Raw genomic sequence first — 12123 nt, forward strand, 5'->3', positions numbered from 1 at the left:
GTATCTACCCTACAGGATTTTAATGAAGATAAAATGAGAAACATGGGAAAGCACATAGCACTAATCCTGGTATATGGTAGGTATTCACCAAATGTTTCTTCTTTCCTTTCTGCATCTATAAAGCAACCTGAAGGAGTAACTGAAAAAAATGTGGTAGGTCATATTTCATCATTTTATAAGATGAATGGTTCAAAAAAGATCCAAAGCACAATTATTTTAATAAAATATGGACATAAGTACCCTTAAAAGTCATAATCAGCATGACCAAATGGAAAGTATAGTAGAACAAGAGACAATACATCTGAGTTCCAGCCATTTAAAACTCCTGGTTTCAGTGTCTTAATTGGTAAAGTGATGTCAATACCATCTATTGTTATGGTTGTTAAATAGCTCAAATGAAGCAATGTATATGACGGTATAGTCCTCCTCAATAATAATAATAGAAGTCATCATTACACTTCAGGGGTAAAAATAGTGCACATCCTACACTCAAACGCTTACTATAATTTTGTGTTTACTTGAGGAATACAGACAGATGTGAAGTATTTATAAATTAACTATCTAAACATAAGAGGTAAGTGAACAAAAAATTATATTTTTTTCAAGTACTCTTTCAAGTAGGAATATCTAATGAATGGCTCAAGGGCTTATAAATAACATTTCATTTTCATATGTGCTTACCTTTTTTCATCTCCTAATTCTTCATTTTTCCGAGATTTTTCAGAACATTTTTCTTTTCCCTTATATAAAAGAAAGTTACATTTTAAATTGTATAGTCCACTTTTATAAGATCAAGAGAACATGTTATTAATATTTGTTCAAAGTTTTATTTACCTTAAAGAATGATACAAATGATCCAATATGTGCATTTCCCTGTTCAGGAACTGCTACATCTTCTGTGTTGGGGTCAACAAAATCATATACCTCCTGGTCTAGGTACAGATTAATATTTATTAGAAAATGTACATAGTAAACTGTATGCTTGACACTGCTGTCCTTAGAAAAATGTGTATTTTCTCAATGTAAGAGTTTGCTAAAGACAATATAATTTTTCAAAGCCCATTTTTAATGTGGGCTATGTACATGAAACAAAAATAGCAGGTACCATATGAATTACCTTTCTGAGAATCAGTCTTACTTCCTATTATGTGACTGTCATTTCTTGATGTCTGCTCTCTATTTGATTCTGAGACTTGAGAATGAAGGCTGACTGTGTCATCATCTGATGGCTAAAAGGAATAAGCAAAAAGTACAAATGAGGCATTTTAAACTTACGATATGGATTATGTTACTTCAATTTTACATATGAATTACAGAATGTCTGCTTTACATCTCCAGTTTTCAAACCCAAAATTAACATAAGGTTTACTGCTCAGCTTTAAAAATCAGCATGCCCTTTTTTTCAGTTTTAGTCATAAAATATAATGATCATATTTTCAAGCAAAATAAACTCAAGTATGCACAAGGGTCTCTATTTCAATGCTCTAATAAAATTGTAAAACAGAATGGATCAGCAATAGAAAATACTCACTTCTGTTGTGGATAATCGTTTCTCTCCATTATCACTTCCAATTCCAGAGTCAGGGCCATGATTTTTATTTGGATAAAAATCTTCCATACTATGGAAATAGAAATCCTAAGAGCAGTTAGGATTTTCTTCTTAAATAGATAATGCACATTTGACCTAAAATTTCCCTAGATAATACAGAATATATACTTTTGATGTCTAAGATCCTTAATTAGGGACATGAGGAGAAAAATATCAGAACTCTTCCTACAAAACATTTTATTCATGCCACTCATGCAATATTGTTCCCTTCGTGTACTCTATAGTGTCAATTGTCAACAATAACCTATTATTTCTCCTCAGAGATTCAGAAAATCAGGCTGCCTTGTTAGAACATTATCTTGATGGAAGACCTGTTTTTCCCATTGGTTTGTCAAATTTCATCACAGAGCTTCGAAACATCTTTTAACTTCAATTTATATGCTTTACTCTTCATTGGCTCTAAAAATGTTTTATTTATATAAATAATGCCCATCTAATAAAGAGAGGATGTAAAAATGAAAGCTACAAAGTATTGAATATGCACTTTAATACTTTCAAATTCACTTTGTCCTTGCAAATTTCTGATTTACAAAATATGCCACCCAGGAAGCAAAGTATTTTTCACTTAATTTGCAATTTTACCACACAGTCTACAATGACCACTTATTATGTATGAGGAACTGTGCTAAATGTTTAAAAGACAAAACATTACATATTTATTGTGAAAAACTGTAGCAAATTGATGGTGTTTTCTCATTTTATATATGATAAAACTTTGACTGGAATGGATTAAGCAATTTATCCAAGGATACGCAACTTGCAGCCAGCAGTCCAAATTTGATCCCTCAATTATCTAGCACCAAAGTCCCTGGTGGTAATCACTATGTTTTAATTCCGCTCCTAAAACCAGTTTCATGCTAAAAAAAAAAAAAAAAAAAAAAAAAAAACAATAACAACAACAAAAAAAAACTTTTTTTTGTACTTTTCAGAAGTATATGAATACATTTAGGGAATCACCTACCAAGTATCAGGTACTATGCTGAATGCTTAAGAGAAAATACATTTTTAAAACTTGCCTCCAAAGAGCTAGCTCTCAGCCTAGAGGAAAAATGAATGTGTTTAAATGTTTTGAAGACTATGACAAAGGTAAATACAAAGTGCTATGAGAAAAAAAAAAAAGGTCAACTAATTCTCCTCGGTAAAGTTAGGAAAGGCATCACTCAAGAATGTGGCATTTGAGCTTAGTCTTGTGGATGAAGAGGCAATAACTGTTAGCATTCATTGAGTGTCTATACTGTGTTATGTACTGTGTTAGATGCACCTCATATTTTAGACATAATTCTTACAGTCTTGAAGTTATAATTATTATCTTTTTACAAAAAAAAATAAAGCTTACAAAAGTTAACGTCCCAAGGGGAAAAATTATAACATTTGCTGTTTATCATTTATTGAACTAATTGCTAGGCACACATTTAATTCTCACAACTGTAGAAGTGGGTATGGTTAACATTTTAGGTATGGAAACAGGCTCAGAGAAGTTAAATAACTTACACAAGGCCACAGAGAAATTAAGTAGTTAAACCATGATTAGAGCCAAAATTCATCTGACTGCACTGCACAAAATACTCCATGTATTTGTAGTAAATGACAATGATGATAATAAGCTATTTGTTGAGGAAATGTTATGGGTAAGGCATTGCACTAAGTGCTCTACATACATTGCTTCATTTAATCCTGACAGCACCTGTGTAATTATTTTCTTTTTTACATATGAGAAAACTGAGGACCAGAGACATTAATACACAAGGACATACAGTTATTAAGAGTCATAAAAGGGCTTCAAAGCCATATTATGTCTGACTCCAAAAGCTATTATATGTAAGTACTGTAGTGCCTATCTATGTATAATAAAGAGTTTACAAAACAGACAAGGCATGGAAGGGCATTCTAGGTAGTAAGAACCATACAGCCAAGAGCCTGAGTATGAAAGTGGAAAGCACATACAAGAATTTTCTAAGTAGTTCAATACAGGCTGTGAGTGAGAAATTAATACAACTGACAACCCACTCTATAGACCTGCACTGTCCAATACGGTAAGCAGCCAGTAGCCATATACAGCCATTCCAAATCGAGACACACTATACACATAAAGTACATACCAGATTTCAAAGATTTAATATTAAATAAGCATATAAAATATCTCACCAAGTTTTCACATTAATTACATGTTGAAATGATAATATTTTGGATATACTCAAATAACATGTATTTCTTTTTACTTTTTTCAAAATGGGTAACAAAAAATTAAAAATTATATATGTGGCTCACATTATATTTTTACTGGATGGTCCTGCTAGAGAATATCTCCAAAATATATCTTAATTCTGCCCATTTCTTTTCATCTGTATTGCAATTACTTTATTCTAGACCCCCTGATCTCTTGGCAATACTACAACAATCCAACTGGTCCCTGTGCTTCTATTTTTGCTTACTTCCAATCTATTCTCCTATAAGCCAAAATAGTTTTTTTTAAAAAAATGAGTCAAATCATGTTATTCCCCCACTTAAAACTGTCCAATGACTTCCCACTGTACTTTAAGTAAAATTCAAACTTCTTACCACATCCTACAAAGCACCCACATGACTTGAACTCTGACTACCTCTCTAAAATCAACATGTACCACGTTTCCCTTCAGCTACTCTGCTCCAACCACGCTGGTCTCCTTTCAGTTGTTTGAACACACAAAGTTCCTTCCTAACTTAAGGCCATGGCAATGTCATTCTTTCTGCCTAAGATGCTCTTACTTTGCTCTTCACAGAGCTGGCTTTTATTCATTCCCTGACGACACTCTTGAAATACATTCCTTCATAGCACAGAATACAATTTGAAATTTTATATGTGTGTGTATTTCCTTGCTTTGTTTATTCACTGACTCCTGCTCCACTACATTGTGAGCACCAAGAGGCCAAGACCAACATATATGACATTCAACAAAACATAACTGAATCTACCAGTAGGCATTCAACTGATATTTGTAAAATAAATGACTAAAACAGTAAATGCCATTACTAAAAGTAAATTCATGTTAAAATAAATATAAAGCAGATTAATAGAGATTAGAATGCCTTAATTCCAATTTTTGGAGCCTTGTTTGGTCTAATACTGTTCATAATATTAAACAAAATAATCTTTAAAAACTGAATCTAATGTTTAGATACTTAATTCTACTTACAAAATAAAAATATTCAAGAAAAAGTCCTATTTGGGAATTCACAAACTTGTGCTGTTAACAATAGTACTTACTATATTGCCATTCAAAGCAATATAAAATTTATATATATGCAATGACAAATCTTTAAATATTTTAGGCAAGGGCATGGTCTAGCTTTCTGTAGTCTCACCCCATTCTAGGTTATTTTCTAAACTATTACATGGATTTATACTTTCATAAAATCTTTCAGACCAATCTACATCTTGAAAGGATGAATTAAAAACAGAATGTTCAATCTACTATCTCAAAATCTCATGAGGATCAAAACACTGAAATCATAAAGAACATCAAAGATGTTCATCAAAGATGATATATCATTATATGTCATTATGATATATCATCTTTGATCCAGACATAAAGACTATGATGAAAGGGAAAAGGTACTCCCCAAATGTCTTGCTCTTCCACCAACCTCAGTTCAAAGTCAAATTCTACTTGTTGTTACAAATGTACAATACAGTGATCACAAAATAAATTAACAGTTGTCACATGCTGAGAAATTAGTGTTTCCGTAATATAATGTCAAACATTTACATTTTTACTACTAAAACTTTAATGATTGAGAAAATGTCAAAAATATTCTAGTATCCTAGAACTTCATTCTATGATGGTGATATGTAGCTTCAGCCAATTATTTATTTTAGTGCTGGACCAATCAGCCTAAATATATTCGGAACACTCAAGATTAATAAGTATATTTCATAAAAAGAGAAGACAGCAATCATCAAATGAAACTGTAAGAATGTTACATTACCTGTCTGTGAGAGGCTGTGAGGGCATTCGTTTACTCAATGATGGAAGATCCAGGGAATCTGGTTTCTTATCCATTCTGCAACATGCTTGAATATTTAAGTACTTAAATATGTGCACCTTACCCTTTAAACATATCTGTCAATAAAAAATAAAGATTTAATTATATAGTTCCAAATATAAATGACATCTATCATTTTAAACCATTCAATAGTCTCAAATTACATTGAGACATCACAATCTTGATTGATACTTTGCATATTTAAATAATTTGTACTTCTGACACCAGGTGGAAAAATCTGACAACACTGATACCAACTAAAATTCTATTGCCATCTCTGTTCTTATTGAAAAAAGTTAATTTTTCTATATTTCACTAGAGTTTTCTTGTCAAAAGCAGAATGTACAAACTATTAAACAATATGAAGTTTACAACTCATAAAAGTGGCCTTTATTTGAAAAAATGAAAAATATATATTCATTGGAATGGTAAGAAAAGAACAAATAATCTATGTGATTCTTTAAAGTAATCTCATCAGAACCACTAAGATGTTTGGCATAAAACCTGGAGAAGGCTAACATAAAAAATATAAATATAGGAAAAATGAATTTTTTGAAAGGTACGATATTAGGCTGGTGAGACTGAAATAATAAAAGAAAACACTGGTCAATTCAACTAGAATAATATCCTAAGAAATTACTTTCGTTGGCCATAGAGAAAATGAATAATGAGGAATAAAATACTATGTGAGCAAAGATACTCTGTATAAAAACAATAGAAAATGAGAGGTAAGAAAACTGTAAGTCAGCTTTATCAAGGTTAATTACAGTCACTAAGTGACATCAAATAAATATTTCTCAAAATTCTAATAAAAAATGTAACATTTTATGGGCTCACATAAGCTTACCTCACATGCAAAAAAATCAGCAAAGAAAACAGTAAGACAACAACATTAAAAAGCAATTATCATTCCAGGTCCAAAGGAAGAATGTTTCTTAGATAATTCTAACAGATACTAGGTCTGACTTGACCACTGAAAAATTTCATTTAAAAGGAAAATTAAAACTTTTGAGCTATTAGAATATAAATATATTGCCAATTAAATGTTGTAAATATCATTGATTTTTCTATTAATTATAAATTATTAATATTAAATACTATCAACTAAAATGTGCTAAAATTAAAATGTGAGGTAGTATTCTATTATACGTCCAAACTAAACAAAAATTTATCTTAATTACCAAATTAAGTGCTGGTAAATCACTCTCTTGTAAATTTTAACTTTTTATCATAGTACTTCATGTACACAGTTTTTAAATTTAAAAATAATTACAAAGCTGACAAGACATAATCCTCAATTCTACTTCTCCTTTTTTTTGTTTTTTTGTTTTTTTTTTGCTTGTTTTTGGAAAACAGCGTCTCATTCTGTCGCCCAGGCTGGAGTGCAGTGGCACAAACATGGCTCACTGCACCCTCGACATCCTGGGCTCAAGTGATCCTCCCAGATTAGCTGGGATGAAATTACAGGCACACACCACCATGCCCGGCTAATCTTTCTTATATTTTGCAGAGACAGGGTCCCACCATGTTGCCCAGGCTGTTCTCGAACTCCTGGGTTCAAGTGATCCTCCCACCTCGGCCTCACAAAGTGCTGGGATTACAGGCATGAACCACCGTGCCCAGCCCATTCTAATTATTTCAATCTCTAAGATCAAATTCCCACTTTAAACTCTTTTAGTTTAATTTCTATTTGCCCTCATATTTATTAATAACATGCTTCTACTGCTATTTGTTTTAAATTTTCCAATGGTAGATTTATTGGAGTATCACTAAGGAAGATGAGGACTTGGATTTCTTACATTACCCACACCACCACCACCATCCCAGCCTCCCCGCTTCCTATCAATTCACATAAACATACTTCTCTCTTCAGAAGTATAACATAGTGGTTAAAGAGCATGGACTCTGCAGTCACACTGCCTTAGGTTGAATCCTGGCTCTAACCCATGCTAGCAATGTGACCTTGAACAAGTCATTTAACTTCTATGCCTCTGTTTTCTTACATGTAAAATGAGGATAATGACAGTACTTGTTTTACAGGGTTAACATAAGAATTAAATGAGTTAATATATGTAAAGCATTTTCAACAGTGTCTAGAACACAGCAAATACTATATAAATCTCTGCTATTATAACTATGTCACAGTTTTTCACTAAATCAAAATCTAGTGTTTATATTATTATGACCAAGAAAATATTCACAGATAAACTCTACAGAGTAATATGATTACATTTCCTTTCTCCTGTAAGTTTTTGTTTTTCCTAAAGTAATTAATGGCCCCATTTTTTCTTTTGAAAAATTTTCTATATGCCTATTATAAATTCATTCTTGACTCTGACAGAAGTATAAAACATCTCTCCATGTGGACAAACGTATCAAATCATCTCTTACTTTCTATTTTTTTTTTTTTTTTTTTGGAGACAACTCCTGTACTCCAAACTACTGACTGGCTGCTTACTAGGCCTATGCATATCTGTCAATCTCAGACAAGAAGAATTCCCCTTTTTTTAGTTTACTCCCTCACTTTGGTATAGTACACCCTCTGCTAGCATCCTAAGAAAGGGTACATGGGAGTAAAAATTTCTAAGATCTTGCATGTTTGAAACCTTTTTCTACCTCACATTTGATGACAGTTTGAATGTAGAATGTTAGAAATACTCCCTTAGTCCTCGAAGGTATCATTCCAACATCTGCCAGTTTCCACAACTGCTGCTAGAAAGCCATGCTGATTAGCACTCCTATGAATATGCTCCATTTTTCCTCTTTATTTTTTCTTCGAGCTTTATTAAAGTATGAGTTACAAATAAAATTTTTTTATATTTAAGTGCCATGTCCATCCCGCTGACCCTGACCCAATGACGGATGAAAGACGTACACTGACACAGATACTTTGCCTGTCAGTCTGGCTAAGGGGCTCTGCTGCCTGAGTCTGCAGCATCTGCCTCGATAAGCCGGGGAAGTTCGCATTTATTTAGTACTGATTAAATTACAAAGGTCTCGAGTAAACACCGCTAGAAGGTAATTAACACTGCCAACCCCTCGAGTAGAGAGCAATCATGCACTCACAGATGATAAAAGGTTGGGCTTAGGGCCACATGAGTAAACAAGCTATTTAGATAAACTCCCTTACATTCCTTTGTACCTACTTTAAACTATTAACTCAAGGTAAGAGGATTAGGCTGACTTCAGCTGAACTTTTTACTGAAGCTATGCAACCCCCCCAGCCTTCCAAGAAGGTTTGTGTCTATTTCCTATAACTATCTTCATAACTTTTCTTCTATAATTTTTCCCACCACCCTGACTGAACTCCCAAATTTAAGGTGTACAACGTGATGCTTTGATATACAGTTGACCCTTGAACAACACAAGTTTGAACTGTGCAGGTCCATTATACATGGATTTTCTTCCACCTCTGCCACTCCTGAGACAGCTAGACCAACCCCTCCTCTTCCTCCTCTTCAGCCCTGTTCAATGTGAAGACCATGGGGATGAAGATCTTTATGATGATCAACTTCCACTTAGTGAATGGTAAATATATTTTCTCTTCCTTATGATTTTCTTAATAACATTTTCTTTTCTGTAGCTTACTTGATTGTAAGAATACAGTAAATAACATATAACATATAAAATATGTGTTAGTCAACTGTTTGTTATTGATAAGGCTTCCAGTCAACAGTAGGCTATTAGCAGCTAAGTTTTTTGTGATTCCAAAGTTATACATGGATTTTTTACAGTATGCAGGGTTCGATGCCCCTAACCCTCATGTTGTTCAAGGATCAACTGTATTATACATTGTGAAATGATTACCACAGTCAAGCTAATTAACATGCCCATCACCTCATGTAGTTACCTTGTTTGTGTGTGTAGTGAGAACACTTCAGTTCAACTCTCTTAACAAATTTCAAGTAAATACAATATTATTAACTATTATCAGCATGATATACATTAGGTCCTCAGTACTTATTCATCTTATAACTGAAGGATGGTACCGTTTAAAATCTCCCCTTTATCCACACCCCCCAGCCCCTGGTAACCACCATTCTACTCTCTGTCACCAGGAGTTCAACTTTTTTTTTTTAAGGTTCCACATATACGTGAGATCACACAGCATTTATCTTTCTGTGTCAGGCTTATTTCAATTAGTATAATGTCCTTAAGTTTCATCCATGTTGTTGCAAATGACAGGATTTCCTTCTTTTTCTAAGGCTGAATAATATTTCATTACACACAAACACACCCCCCCCCCCACACACACACACACACTATATTTTCTTTATCCATTCATCTGTTGATGGACATACAGGTTGTTTCCATATCTTGACTGTAGTGAATAATGTTGCAATGAACATGGGAGTGCAGATTATTTCTTTAAGATGGTGATTTCATTTCCTTCGGATATTGTAATTTGTAAGGAATGTATACTTGGTTTTGCTCCCATTTCCTATACACAGCTCCTAAAACTCTTACACGATCTCTTAAGTGGTAAGTATCCCTTTGCATGCTAATGAATGACTGGTGGCTGGGAGCTCCTGGATAGCCACAGGATAAGGGACTGATTGCCAGGAAAACCAACCATGGGATTAGGCGGTTGAAACTTTCAATCCTACCTCCCTCACCTCCAGGAACCAGAGAAGGGCTGAAAGTTGAGGTGATCACCAATGGCCAATGATGTAACCAATTGTGCCTCCACAACGAAGCCTCCATAAAAACCAAAAGGACAGGGTTCGGAAAGCTTACAAATTGCTAAACACGTGGAGGTGCCTGGAAGGTGGCGTGCCCACAGAGGGCACAAAAGCTTCATTGAGGTTCAGAAAATGATACCCCAAAATGAAAGCCTCAGAAGCAAAGTTTTTCTCTGACCTTCTCCAGACGCCCCTCCCCTGTCTCTCACCTCCTCATTCTCACTAGAGGCAAGTCATGGAAACAAGAATTTATCGTCCCCAAGGCCAGTCATAGGCACTAGAACCCCTTTTTTCCAAAGCCAGCCATAAAGCCTAATCTAACCTTCCCCTACCTTTCTGTGTAACCACTGGCCATAAACAAATTAAAACCCTCATTCCAGAGAAGTATTACCCTACACCCAGAAGGAACAAACGCTACAACAGAGACACCAAGAAAAGGCCTTGCTAGGTTTTCCCACTCCATCTATTACCATTAGCTCATGCTTTTTTTGTCCAATCACATTTCTACACTGCTGTCCCAGTCTGAATTGAATCGAAGCATAAAGTCAGCTAACTTTCTCTATATCCTTGGGTCCTTATTCTGAAGGCTCCAGTGTCACGTAAAACTATGATCAAATAAAGTTGTTATCCTTTTATCTTGTTTACTTGTTTTTTGTTATAGGGGTATCAGCCGTGACCCTTATGATGGGGAGGAAAGGGAACATCCCCTCTCCACCCCTTCAGTTAGCACCCCTTCTCATATGCCTTGTCCTATCCTTCTCTTCCATCTGGCTATTCATTTGTATCCTTTGTAATAAATTAGCAATAGTAAGTAAAGTGTTTCACTAAGTTCTGTGAACCACTCTAGTAAATTAACTGAACCTGAGGAGGGGGTCATGGGAACCTTAACTTATAGTTGGTCAGTCAGAAGTATAGGTGAGCAGTCTGTGGGACTGAGCTCTTAACCTGTAGGATCTGATGTTAACTCCAGGTAGTGTCAGAATTGAATTGAATTATAGGATACCCAGTCAGTGTCTGCTGGAGAACTGCTTGGTGGTGGGAAGAAATCTGACGCATTTTGGTGACCAGAAGTGAAGTATTCTGTATTGAGAATTAAAATAGAAAAAATAGTTTGGTTTATTTTTCTATCTCTTACAGATGTATACCCAGAGGTAGGACTGTAATATTATATGGTAGCTCTACTTTTAATTTTTTGAGGAAGCACTATACTGTTTTCCATAATGGCTGTACCATTTTACATTCCCATCAATAGTGTACAATGGTTCCCTTTTCTCCATATCCTTGCCAGCACTGGTTATCTTTTCTTTTTGATAACAGGCATCCTAACAAGTGTGAAGTGATATCTCATTGTGGTTGTGATTTACATTTCCCTGATGATTAGGAATGCTGAATATCTTTTCATATAGCTGTTGGCCATTTGTATGTCTTGTTTGAAAAAATGTCTATTCAAGTCCTTTGCCTATTTTTCAATTTTTTTTTTTTTTTGCTATTGAGTTATATGAATCCTTTTTGTATTTTGGCTATTAACCCCTCATCAGATATATGGTTTACAAATATTTCTGGATATCCACACACACACAAAAAATAAATGTGCTCCCTTTCGTTTCAATGAAAGCCTTTGGTGTTTTGGTCTCTGTCTTTCATGTTAGAGATTACTCTTGCAATGTCTAATGATTCTTGGCTGGCTGTTCATTTTCTTTTTTCTTTTTTTTTCTTTTTTTTTTTTTGAGACAGAGTCTCACTCTGTAGCCCAAGCTGGAGTGCAGTGGCACGATCTTGGCTCACTGCAACCTCCTCCTCCAAGGATCA

General features: G+C 34.4%; 1 protein-coding gene across 4 annotated transcripts in view; it reads right to left on the bottom strand.

The window, feature by feature from the left end:
* LRCH2 (leucine rich repeats and calponin homology domain containing 2) overlaps positions 1-12123 on the bottom strand; it is a 123481-nt gene that overhangs the window by 54108 nt on the left and 57250 nt on the right. For 3 of the 4 annotated variants that reach the window (NM_001243963.2, NM_020871.4, XM_017029696.3), the window contains exons 6-10: positions 5576-5709; positions 1532-1619; positions 1118-1229; positions 835-932; positions 682-740 (exon numbers count right to left, since the gene is read on the bottom strand). In NM_001243963.2, coding sequence (NP_001230892.1) covers positions 682-740; positions 835-932; positions 1118-1229; positions 1532-1619; positions 5576-5709 — 491 coding nt within the window. The remainder of the gene's footprint in view (positions 1-681; positions 741-834; positions 933-1117; positions 1230-1531; positions 1620-5575; positions 5710-12123) is intronic. The other variant, XM_006724724.4, reaches the window with a different exon arrangement.

This window comes from Homo sapiens, chromosome X (genome assembly GCF_000001405.40).
Source record: "Homo sapiens chromosome X, GRCh38.p14 Primary Assembly".
In the NCBI taxonomy this organism is placed as follows: domain Eukaryota; kingdom Metazoa; phylum Chordata; class Mammalia; order Primates; family Hominidae; genus Homo; species Homo sapiens.